The sequence below is a fragment of the Homo sapiens genome, chromosome 3 (genome assembly GCF_000001405.40).
Source record: "Homo sapiens chromosome 3, GRCh38.p14 Primary Assembly".
Taxonomy (NCBI): domain Eukaryota; kingdom Metazoa; phylum Chordata; class Mammalia; order Primates; family Hominidae; genus Homo; species Homo sapiens.
This window is the reverse complement of record NC_000003.12, coordinates 48,624,963-48,636,434: the sequence shown is the minus strand read 5'-3', so window position 1 is coordinate 48,636,434 and position 11,472 is coordinate 48,624,963. Positions and strand designations below refer to the sequence as shown.

At 59.2% G+C, this 11,472-nt stretch overlaps 1 protein-coding gene and 1 non-coding gene across 7 annotated transcripts, besides 4 other annotated features; both read left to right on the top strand.

Moving 5' to 3' along the window:
* Positions 766-1,045: a silencer, noted in NCBI's record as "silent region_14336". NCBI's record gives its function as "represses an Ori minimal core promoter by ATAC-STARR-seq in GM12878 lymphoblastoid cells {active_cell/tissue: GM12878}" and the evidence as "EXISTENCE:reporter gene assay evidence [ECO:0000049][PMID:35858748]".
* On the top strand, positions 974-10,712 carry SLC26A6 (solute carrier family 26 member 6). 6 transcript variants are annotated; one of them, NM_134263.3, is made up of 21 exons: positions 974-1,064; positions 2,800-2,958; positions 3,045-3,184; positions 3,351-3,461; positions 4,039-4,190; positions 4,391-4,555; positions 4,634-4,786; positions 5,129-5,211; positions 5,295-5,442; positions 5,715-5,828; positions 5,920-5,997; positions 6,278-6,373; positions 6,457-6,563; positions 6,724-6,793; positions 7,721-7,813; positions 7,894-8,001; positions 8,397-8,489; positions 9,383-9,559; positions 9,750-9,804; positions 10,081-10,217; positions 10,435-10,712. In NM_134263.3, exons 1-21 carry the CDS (start codon positions 1,042-1,044, stop codon positions 10,447-10,449), a joined length of 2,277 nt encoding a protein of 758 aa, NP_599025.2. In that variant the 5' UTR covers positions 974-1,041; the 3' UTR covers positions 10,450-10,712. The 6 variants fall into 6 exon arrangements, with proteins under 6 accessions (NP_599025.2, NP_075062.2, NP_001268661.1 ...); NM_022911.3 differs by having other exon boundaries at positions 9,380-9,559; NM_001281732.2 differs by lacking the exon at positions 4,039-4,190 and having other exon boundaries at positions 4,343-4,555; positions 4,638-4,786; positions 9,380-9,559.
* Positions 1,436-1,535: a silencer, noted in NCBI's record as "silent region_14335". NCBI's record gives its function as "represses an Ori minimal core promoter by ATAC-STARR-seq in GM12878 lymphoblastoid cells {active_cell/tissue: GM12878}" and the evidence as "EXISTENCE:reporter gene assay evidence [ECO:0000049][PMID:35858748]".
* On the top strand, positions 2,737-2,799 carry MIR6824 (microRNA 6824). Its single transcript, NR_106882.1, has one exon. It is a non-coding gene; the product is annotated as a microRNA 6824 (primary transcript).
* Positions 5,957-6,457: an enhancer, noted in NCBI's record as "H3K4me1 hESC enhancer chr3:48667411-48667911 (GRCh37/hg19 assembly coordinates)". NCBI's record gives its function as "activates a minimal SCP1, AML or CMV promoter by ChIP-STARR-seq in naive H9 embryonic stem cells {active_cell/tissue: H9 hESC(naive)}" and the evidence as "EXISTENCE:reporter gene assay evidence [ECO:0000049][PMID:30033119]".
* Positions 6,458-6,958: an enhancer, noted in NCBI's record as "H3K4me1 hESC enhancer chr3:48666910-48667410 (GRCh37/hg19 assembly coordinates)". NCBI's record gives its function as "activates a minimal SCP1, AML or CMV promoter by ChIP-STARR-seq in naive H9 embryonic stem cells {active_cell/tissue: H9 hESC(naive)}" and the evidence as "EXISTENCE:reporter gene assay evidence [ECO:0000049][PMID:30033119]".

The window sequence follows — 11,472 nt, the reverse complement described above, 5'->3', positions numbered from 1 at the left end:
GGAGGTAGGATGGAAGCTGTGAATGATTCAAGCCAGACTGACCTTTGGGAGGAATCTGAGCCCCTCCCAAGAATATCCAGCTATTTTTAGCCCATTTCATGGCAGATCTCTTTCACCTTGAAATCTGGCCCCTCACTTTGTAATTGGGGCCTGATGTTGGAGCACAGGTGCTGAAAATAAGGTGCTAAGGAAAACCTCCCCGCTGGTCAAGGCAACGGCAACAGGACTTCCTAATTCTTCAGGGTCTGCAGCCCTGACCCGGCATTTTTTGCCCTCACCTGCGGTGAAACCAACCTGAGGAACTGCTCTTGCAGTTCCTGCCTTGCCCACCCAACAGCACTGACGCCCACCCAACAGCACTGACCCCCACCATTCTCCTCGGCGGCCCGCGCAGTAACCTTCTGGGAGCTACGTCCGGGCTGTGCTTAGTGCAGCGGAGGGGATCCTCCAACCATTTCTGGCCTGGGTGGCCAGAGTTAAAGGGGAGGACTTGGGGACCGTTGGCTCCGGGTCTCAAAGAGATGCGTAGTCGCAGAAAGCCTGCGGGTGGCGCTCTCAGCTGAAGGCAAGAGAGGCCCCACAGACCTGGATCCCCTACGAGTTAAGGCTGGGGTCACCGGCCAGTGGAGTTTCCTTTTCCCACTCCGTGAGCACCTTCCGCCGAGCCAGGACCTGGGATCAGCTCCAACCTACTCAGGGCCTGGGGGCGCGACTGCGGCCAGCCCGGCGCGGGTGCTTAGTTCCAGTTCTGCAGTCCCATCCAGCTCCGGGCAGAGGGCCGGGCGAGCAGCGAGAGGCCTCATAGGCCAGGTCGCCGGGGAGGAAGCGGTTAAATCCTCCTTCTCCAGTCTCTCCCCGCCCGGCGCGCGCCACTTAGGCCCCGCCCCAGCGCGCTGATTGGCCCAAGCCTCCCCGTCCTGCCCCGGGATTAGCCCCCGGGAGAGCGCAGCTGGCCTCACCCGGTCCCGGCGCCGCCTTCCGGAGCGTAGCGGCCTCTAGCTCGAGCAGCAGGAGCAGCCCGCACCGGACAACTTGCGAGCCATGGGGCTGGCGGATGCGTCGGGGTGAGTTCAGCGCACATTCCCGGTGGCCCCGCGCGAGCGCCTCGCTGGAGCAGGCATTCTCCGCTTGCGACGCCTCGCTGGAGCAGGCATTCTCCGCTTGCGACGCCTCGGTTTACCTCTGCTGATTTTCTGCAGGCGGCTGCCCCTCTGCAGCAAGGGGTGGGGGCGGGAGCCGGCGCGACCCCAGTCCCTTGGGCTGTGCGGAAAGCCGCTGGTGTGACGCCCGAGGGCCATCCCGGGCCACAGGGAGGCAGCTGCGTGCGGAGGAGCCCGGCCAGGAGATGTGCCGGCGGGGGTGCGTGGGGCACGGGAGTCCCTGGCAGCGGCCCGTGGACTAGCTGCTTTCAGCTGAGTCCCGAGTCCACCCAGCTCCACTGATCCCGGAGTGAGCGCTCCGGCCTTTCTGGCCCCAGTTGCCTTCCTACAGGGAGGGGCCAATGATCAAGGCTCCGCCCTCCAAACGCGGGTCCCAAGTTGTCGGGGGAGGGAGCCCTTTAAGAAGACCTGAGTGACTCACGTAGGAAAGGAGAGGGGGCTCTACGATCTCCTTGAGATAGCGGTCCCAAGAGTCTCTGAGGATCTTCCTTGCACCCACTCCACACTCCTCCAACAGTACAGCCAGGTTAGAGGCGCTTCCCAGGTGAGTTCCTGTCCCTCAAATGGGATCCTCTCCCCAGGTCAGGGCTTTTCCTAGATCAGAACTTTCCTGACTGGTGAAAGCTTCCCCAACAGGCTAGAGTTTTCCCCCAGGTAAGATCCTTCTGTGAGATCTATTCCCAGGTGACAGCTTTTCCCCATTCCACGTGGGAGCCTCGCCCGAGGTCAGAGCTTTCTCTATGGGAGAGTACCCCCCAGGTGAGAACCCTCTCCCTCTAGGTCTTTTCTTCCCATGTGAGATCTTTCTCTGACTTCAAGTAGGTGCCTCTGGGCAGAGGGAAGATTCCCCCTGTATCAGAACTTGCCAGGCTGATAAAGATTCCCTGGTAGGTCAGAGATCCCTCTAGGTGAGATTCCCCTTGAAAGCTTCTATTCCCAGGTGAGCTCTTTCCCCCACTTCAAGTGGGTACTTCCCTTTCCATGTGGGAGCCTCTCCCTCTAGGTGAGAGATTGCCACTCCAAGAGCAAGCTCCTTCTCAGGTGAGAGCCAGTCCTTGGCTTCCCCATAACAGGCCTGAGCCGTCTACAACCTGGACCCTGGGGCTGGAGGCCCAGGGGCAAGCTTGGCTCCAACACTTTCCTTCCCTTAGAGGGGAGGGTCTCATCTGAGGCCTGAGGCTTGGGAAAGGAGTTGCTTGAGGAGCTGGACCCCTGGTTTGCTGGACCCCTTCCCTGAGTGTGCTCTCAGCCAGCAGTGGGCTCCCGGGGCAGCTGGAGGAGGACCTGGGGACTGGAGAGGGACTGGGTGGGGGAGGGAGCAGCCTGGGACCTGGACTGGTAGAACACTCAGCACTGGGCTGCCACATCTCGGCTGGAGGTATAGCTAGTGCTCATCCTGCAGTCCCTACTTGGGGGACTTTGTCCTAGAAAGAGGCTTTCTCACCAGCCAAAGTTCAGGTACTGCCCCTGTCTGAGTTTGGACATGTGGCCCACAGATGCCAGCTGGGGGCTGGAATACTGTACCTTGATCTTAGGGCCTGGAAAAATCAGGTAGGTAACTCTCTGGTCCTAGGTGGAGGTGTAGGGGAGGTTGGGCCAGGGATGCCTTCACTGTGTCTCTCTGGTCTTGCCACCCCAGACCGAGGGACACACAGGCACTGCTGTCTGCAACACAAGCAATGGACCTGCGGAGGCGAGACTACCACATGGAACGGCCGCTGCTGAACCAGGAGCATTTGGAGGAGCTGGGGCGCTGGGGCTCAGCACCTAGGACCCACCAGTGGCGGACCTGGTTGCAGTAAGGCCAAGATTGGGGCCTGGGGGCGCTGGCGGGGCCCAGGTAGCCCCTGTTCCTGACACCTACCCCTCATATCATGTCCCTAGGTGCTCCCGTGCTCGGGCCTATGCCCTTCTGCTCCAACACCTCCCGGTTTTGGTCTGGTTACCCCGGTATCCTGTGCGTGACTGGCTCCTGGGTGACCTGTTATCCGGCCTGAGTGTGGCCATCATGCAGCTTCCGCAGGGTGAGCCACCTTCAGTGCGTCGGCCTGGAAACCCTGTGGTCTGTGATGCCCAAAACTGGGGCCATGACCTCTACCTTGGAACTATGGCACCTAACCCAGGGCTGGGATTCCCTTATCGTTTCAAGATCTGCTCTCCAGGCCTGCACTGCTACCATTCTACCCCTAGGCTTGGCCTACGCCCTCCTGGCTGGATTGCCCCCCGTGTTTGGCCTCTATAGCTCCTTCTACCCTGTCTTCATCTACTTCCTGTTTGGCACTTCCCGGCACATCTCCGTGGGTAAGTGGAGGCAGGCCTAGCCTTCCAGGAGGATGCCCACATCCATCATGGAGGGCAGGGTGAGGGGGCACTGAGCAGGGCAGGAGCGGCTGGGGAAGAGGGCAGCATTGGTGCTGCATCCCTGGGCTAGCCCACGAGTCATCCCCAGGCAGGACTAGACCCCTGACTGTAGGACCACAGAGGCAGGTGACCTCAAAGCCCTGGCTCCAGGAAGATGAGAGTGGGTGAGGCAGCCCAAGGGGCCTGGAACTTGGCAGAGGCCTGAGCAGCCTAAGGCCAGCCCTGACCCCTTCCCTACTCCACAGAGAGCCTCTGTGTCCCGGGACCAGTAGACACAGGTGGGACAGGGTAGATGAGACAGGGCCAGCATTTCTAGCCATGCTTAAGGGCCTGTGAGCTCAGGGTTTACTCCTGGCCTGGCCAAACCTGAACCGCCAGCACTGTCCCTGTTCATGCAGCCATAATCTGAGTACATTTATCCAGAACTGGAAGTCTCCTGGCCTCTCTCTTAAGACCAGGGCTCCAGGGCAGGGCAGTGTCCTCTCCTCTTCAGACCTGCCCCGTGCCGTCCTTACAGGGACCTTTGCTGTCATGTCTGTGATGGTGGGCAGTGTGACAGAATCCCTGGCCCCGCAGGCCTTGAACGACTCCATGATCAATGAGACAGCCAGAGATGCTGCCCGGGTACAGGTGGCCTCCACACTCAGTGTCCTGGTTGGCCTCTTCCAGGTGTGGAACAGTCAGGAGTATGTGCCCCCCACCACCACTTCTGCTCCCGCCACTGTCCTGTCTGTACTCCCCTGAGTGTCTGACCATCGTCGTCCTCCTCTTGCCGTCTACTCATCCCCCTCCCATCCCACTTGCCCTGCGCTCCTCATTAGCAACCCCAGGACCCCTGCCTCTCCTGACTGCCCCTGGCCGCCCCACAGGTGGGGCTGGGCCTGATCCACTTCGGCTTCGTGGTCACCTACCTGTCAGAACCTCTTGTCCGAGGCTATACCACAGCTGCAGCTGTGCAGGTCTTCGTCTCACAGCTCAAGTATGTGTTTGGCCTCCATCTGAGCAGCCACTCTGGGCCACTGTCCCTCATCTATGTGAGTGAGGGTAGGGGGAGGGAGGGGTAGGTGTGCCCCATGGCCTTGAGTGCTAGCTGTGACCTGGCCTCTCCTCAGACAGTGCTGGAGGTCTGCTGGAAGCTGCCCCAGAGCAAGGTTGGCACCGTGGTCACTGCAGCTGTGGCTGGGGTGGTGCTCGTGGTGGTGAAGCTGTTGAATGACAAGCTGCAGCAGCAGCTGCCCATGCCGATACCCGGGGAGCTGCTCACGGTTCGAGGGCCAGGGAGTGGAGGGCAGGGGAGAAGGGCAGGTCAGGCTGGGTCCTTGCCACGTGGGCAGCCTCCTGTATTTGAGGGCCAGCTGGAGGGGGGCTGGGAGGGTTCTTGGGTATTGTGGGGGGCACAGCAGAAAGCCCCTATGTTGGTTTCTTCCTGCCCCTGACAGCATCTCCCCATAGCCGAAATGGTGTTGCCTGTCTCTCACCCTACGTGACTTTTTCCCACCCTCGAAGAAGGTTTTGCCCAGTATCTCCCTCCTCACCTCACAGTGGTTTATGTGTCCCCCTGACCATGGTGCCAGCACCTGCCTCCCTGACTCTGTCCTCTCCCACAGCTCATCGGGGCCACAGGCATCTCCTATGGCATGGGTCTAAAGCACAGATTTGAGGTAGATGTCGTGGGCAACATCCCTGCAGGGTGAGCTCTGGCCTCCATCAGGTCAGGGAGGGTTGGGCAGCCAGGACAGGACCTTGCTTTGGCCTCACAGATACCTCTCACAGGCTGGTGCCCCCAGTGGCCCCCAACACCCAGCTGTTCTCAAAGCTCGTGGGCAGCGCCTTCACCATCGCTGTGGTTGGGTTTGCCATTGCCATCTCACTGGGGAAGATCTTCGCCCTGAGGCACGGCTACCGGGTGGACAGCAACCAGGTCTGGGTGATGCGGGATGTGTAGGAGGCATCCAAGTGTATGGAGGCGCCAGCAACGGGTGGGGGAGGAACCGGTGGGACACAGGGAGACAGCAGATGTGCTGAGGCCACGTGGGGGACTGAGGGTGGGAGAGCAGGACGTGTGGGACAGCATCCAGTCTCTGGGGGCCACTTGGTGGGGATGGAGATTGGGGATGCACAGGCCTAGATACAGTGGAACAGTGACCAGCCACTTCTAGGAAGTCTTCTCACACCCGTACTGTCCCCCGTCAGGAGCTGGTGGCCCTGGGCCTCAGTAACCTTATCGGAGGCATCTTCCAGTGCTTCCCCGTGAGTTGCTCTATGTCTCGGAGCCTGGTACAGGAGAGCACCGGGGGCAACTCGCAGGTGGGCTTTGGGTGTGGGCATGGGTGTGGGCATGCACATTGCTTTGCCTGGGGAAGGAGGTCTCTCCCCTGCTCACTCCCTCCCCGAACAGGTTGCTGGAGCCATCTCTTCCCTTTTCATCCTCCTCATCATTGTCAAACTTGGGGAACTCTTCCATGACCTGCCCAAGGTGAGCCCCCACCCAGCCAGGTTTCAGGTCTTGGCCAGGCCAGGGCTCTCAAATCAGCCAGTCTAGGTTCAGGCGAGGGGTGGGGACACAAGGTTAGGTTCTGTTTTTCAAGGCTGAGATCTTCAAGGTGAGATTTGGAGACAAGGGTCAGGGGCTGGGTGGGGGTTTGTGTCTGGGGTACTGCCTGAGTGCTTGGGCTTAGTCTGGCTTTGCCTCGGTGAGGAGGGTTGTCAGCATCGGGTGCCCTCAATGGCCCCTGGTGGCACTGTCCCCACCCCAGGCGGTCCTGGCAGCCATCATCATTGTGAACCTGAAGGGCATGCTGAGGCAGCTCAGCGACATGCGCTCCCTCTGGAAGGCCAATCGGGCGGATCTGGTGAGTGCACTGGGAGCCCAGGGCAGGGACTGGGCAGCCCCATGGCTCCTCGCCGCCCTCCAACCGCTGCCCTCTGTTCTCAGCTTATCTGGCTGGTGACCTTCACGGCCACCATCTTGCTGAACCTGGACCTTGGCTTGGTGGTTGCGGTCATCTTCTCCCTGCTGCTCGTGGTGGTCCGGACACAGATGTGAGTCCGCCATGTTGGTCCCCTCATTCCAGCTAGTGAGAGAGTACCACAGGGCTCCCCGCAGCTTTCCCCACATCTCTGGGGACTTCAGGCTCCTTCGGACCCCTCTGTTATCCCCTTTTTCTGCCCCCTCTTCGTGCATTCTCTCTCTCCTTCACAGGCCCCACTACTCTGTCCTGGGGCAGGTGCCAGACACGGATATTTACAGAGATGTGGCAGAGTACTCAGAGGTGAGTGTCAGGGGCTGAGTGAGATGGTGTGGATGGGGAGACGGAGGAAGAATGAGCCTTTGTGGATTCGTTCCACACTTGGCCAGGGAACTGGGGGCTGAGGATACTTTGGCTTTGGTCTTTGGGATTTCAAGGGAGGAGTTTAGGTCTATGACCCCCTCTAGAGGTATGAAGGGACAGAGGGAGAGTGGACAGAGATGGGTCTGGGGCTGGGGAGGGGTCTGTCGTGGAGTCAACAGCACAAGCTCCACCTGCAGAGCAGCCGTGGGTCAGAGAGCCGGAATGGCAGCTCCCTGGGGCGCCAGGTTGGAAGGGAGGCATTTCCTGATCTGATCAGTGGGGTTACTAAGTCCTCAGTCATCCATTTATCTCCTGAGAGGTCTTGGGCCAAGTGCTAGGAACATAGGTGGGGGGCTCTGGAATAAAACAAGGCTGTTGCCTGCAACATGGGCACAGTGCAATTAGGCAGTGCGGGGAGGAATTAAGGGGTCTGAGACATGGGAGAGGATGAGGGGGCAGCCCAGCCCTTACCATGCATGCCTGGAGCCCAGCAGAGACCCGGGCTGTGACCCGAATGGGGTGGGAGCGGGGAAGGTCTGATTGATATGACAGCCTAGGAGGACCTCTGTCTGGGTGCAGAAAACAGAACACAAGGCAGGGGTTGGAAACCCAAGAGAAAGGTTAAGAGCCTGTGAAGCCTGCCTGGGTGGTGGCAGGAGAGGTGGGGAGGGAGAGGCACTGTGGGGGGATGGGGATGACACCGTCGGGCTTGTGGCCTAAGCCCCTGGGAGGGCCTGGACTGCAGCCTGGGGAGCAGAGGGCTGGGCGGTGGCAGGCACTGGGCACACTAGGGAAGGAAAGGCAGGAGAACAGGATGCAGCCAGGAGAGAGGAGATTCAGCCACCACCAGTTCTGCCTCATCCCCAGGCCAAGGAAGTCCGGGGGGTGAAGGTCTTCCGCTCCTCGGCCACCGTGTACTTTGCCAATGCTGAGTTCTACAGTGATGCGCTGAAGCAGAGGGTGAGACGGAGTCCCCAGGATGGGTGTCAGGCCCCAGCTCCCAGAGAGCTCACCAACCCTTCTCTGATGTTTGCCTCCAGTGTGGTGTGGATGTCGACTTCCTCATCTCCCAGAAGAAGAAACTGCTCAAGAAGCAGGAGCAGCTGAAGCTGAAGCAACTGCAGAAAGAGGAGAAGCTTCGGAAACAGGCAGGGCCCCTTTTGTCTGGTGACCCCCATCTCCTGCCCCCTGTTCCCTGCCCCAGCCTTTCTCCTGGCCCCCGACTCCTCCCTCGTCCTCACTCCTCATCCCTTCCCCTTTCTCCCTCATGCTCCCAGGGACCCTGCTTCACTCCCCTAGCAGGTCCGGGCTCTAGGCAGCATTTTCTCTCCCATCATCTGAACCAGTGACAGTGAGAACCGTCACAGTCCTCTTCCCTTTCACGGCTGTTCCAGGAGCTTCAGCCTGGCTGCTGCAGGTCCCACAGCTTCTGGTCCTGGCCCACCCACCTGCCCAGCACCAGGGGGCATCACCAGGCCTATGTGACATGGCTGTCATGGCAGCCGGGCTAGCTGTTTCCCATTCCCTGTCTTCCCTGGTGTAGGCTGCCTCCCCCAAGGGCGCCTCAGTTTCCATTAATGTCAACACCAGCCTTGAAGACATGAGGAGCAACAACGTTGAGGACTGCAAGATGATGGTGAGACTGGAGGTGGGAAAGGAGGTGACAGCTGTGAGCTGCAGAGATGCAGGATCCACATGTCTCATGAGGAATGCCATGGACCCAGCAGCTGTGGGCTCGAGGGTGTTGCGCCGATGGCAGGAGGAGTGGGGAGGCTGGGTCAGATATTCTTCAGGGAGCGTCGTGATATGCCACAGAATCTAGGCTTAGATTCTCAGGCCTAGATGAAGACCTTGAATTTGTAGATCCCACAAGACTTCCCCCAGAGTCTGCTCATGGGTAGAGGAAAGGGATGGGGTATATGGGAGAAAATCAAGGGGTCAAAGGCAGGCGTGGTGGTACGCGCCTGTAGTCCCAGCTCTTCGGGAGGCTAAGGCGGGAAAATCATTTGAGCCCAGGAGCTCGGGGCTGCAGTGCGCTCTAATGGTGCCTGTGAATAACCACTGCATTCAGCCTGGGCAATGAAGCGAGACCCCGTCTCTAAAAAAAAAATTGAGGGGTCAAAGAGGATGCCAAACTTAATTAGAGACTGAGACAGGGCAGGGTGCCGAGGTGTCTGCATGCGTTTCATGTGGATGCCCGTGTCTATTCTGGCCTGCTCCTGGGCCCCCTCCCCACTCAGCCCTGGCTGATGAGAATGGGACAGGGACTCCCTTCTCGTGTCCCTGTGCAGCGTCGGCCCAGGAGGTAGCAGAGCAGTATATGCACATCTGGGTGTGCCCTCCTGCATGTCCCCACACATCTGTCATTCCTGTCTTTGCACACCTATGTGACTCCCGCATGTTTGTGTCCTTATGTGTCCCATGCATGCTCCCCATCTGACCTTGCGTGTTCTCGCGTGTCTGTGTGCGGCCAGTCCTGCCTTCACTCTCTCATGGGTGGCCCTGGCAGCATGTCTGGCTCCCCAGCAGGTGAGCTCAGGAGATAAGATGGAAGATGCAACAGCCAATGGTCAAGAAGACTCCAAGGCCCCAGATGGGTCCACACTGAAGGCCCTGGGCCTGCCTCAGCCAGACTTCCACAGCCTCATCCTGGACCTGGGTGCCCTCTCCTTTGTGGACACTGTGTGCCTCAAGAGCCTGAAGAATGTAAGGACGGGGGCAGGCCAAGGCCCCTCGAGCTTCCACACTGACCCTGTAATTTGCCCTGAGAGCACTCCCAGCCTCTGACTCCCCAAACCCTCAAAGCTCCCCTTCTAAACTCCCTCCCCAAGCCTGCCCGAGCCCCCCTCTGAGTCCCTGAGCCTCCCTCTGAGGCTGGCCCCCTTTTCCGCTACAGATTTTCCATGACTTCCGGGAGATTGAGGTGGAGGTGTACATGGCGGCCTGCCACAGTGAGTAGGGTGGGAACAGCAGGAGGGACCTGGGAAGAGGGTAGGATACTTTTGGCCAAGGGGTTTTCCAAGTAGCACAAGGAAAAAGTCTTTCTCTGGAACTGGAGGTCAGAGGTGTCCTGGGAGACAGGAGTCCAGGGTTACAAGTGATGTGGATTCAGCTGTAGCCTCAGGGGTGGAGGTCAGGGGTGATGAGGTCAGGGCATTCTGTTGGCTCCCGGGAGTTGAGTTCCTAGAGGTTCTGAGAGTCAGGGGAGGCCTACTTCTTGCCCACAGGCCCTGTGGTCAGCCAGCTTGAGGCTGGGCACTTCTTCGATGCATCCATCACCAAGAAGCATCTCTTTGCCTCTGTCCATGATGCTGTCACCTTTGCCCTCCAACACCCGAGGCCTGTCCCCGACAGCCCTGTTTCGGTGAGCCTACCTCTGGCCTGCCAAGCTCTTTTTTGTTAATCTATTGCTTGTCCCCACCCTGGCCCCAGCTCCAGGGAGTCTTTCCTGGTGGCCATGGCTCTGTCCCCAGTGGGCCCAGTGCTTTCTCCGCTGTCTTTGGATAAAGCTGTTCTAGGGGCGGGGGTTGGTCTGTGTCCTTTGGAAACTGACTAGAGCCTCCCCTCCTCTGCCTGCTCAGGTCACCAGACTCTGAACATGCTACATCCTGCCCAAGACTGCACCTCTGGAGGTGCAGGGCACCCTTGAGAAGCCCCTCACCCCTAGGCCGCCTCCAGGTGCTACCCAGGAGTCCCCTCCATGTACACACACACAACTCAGGGAAGGAGGTCCTGGGACTCCAAGTTCAGCGCTCCAGGTCTGGGACAGGGCCTGCATGCAGTCAGGCTGGCAGTGGCGCGGTACAGGGAGGGAACTGGTGCATATTTTAGCCTCAGGAATAAAGATTTGTCTGCTCAACTCCAGTCTCTGCTGTGGCTTGGTGGGGCCCTGGTGGTGGGTGGTCCACAGCTGTGGCTGCTGACCCTTCCTGTGCCCTGAAGGTGAGACGGGGCAGAAGGTGTAGGAAGGACTCGGGAGGTTAGGGTACAGAGCAGGGGAGCTGTGGAGGCATCCCCTGTTAAGGTCTCTCCCCAGCCATGCATAGCCCTCACTCGCTGTCTCCTCAGATGTGAAACAGTTGGAACCAGAGCTGCTTCTCAGGAATAATTTGCTCTCAGGAATACCCGAGAAGGTACAGGGCAGCGTGGGTGCCAATGGGCAGTCCCTGGAGGATACAGAGTGAACACCTAGGAGCAGCTGTTCCCCCACACTGCTGCTCTATGCTTAAGAATAAGCATGACCGGGCCGGGCACGGTGGTTCACACCTGTAATCCCAGCACTTTGGGAAGCAGAGGCAGGTGGATCACTTGACATCAGGAGTTCAAGAACATCCTGGCCAACATGGTGAAATCCCACCTCTACTAAAAATACAAAAGTTAGTCGGGCGTGGTGATACATGCCTGTAATCCCAGCTACTCGGGAAGCTGAGGCATGAGAATCGCTTGAACTTGGGAGGCAGAGGTTGCAATGAGCCCAGATCATGCCCCGCATGGGTGACAGATCACCTGGGCATGGTAGAACACTGTCAGCCAAGGAGTGTGTGTTGATTTCTGCCATTAAATGCCGACATCTGGGCATGTGACCCAGCAGGCAGTGGGGCGTTGGGTCAGCTGACAGT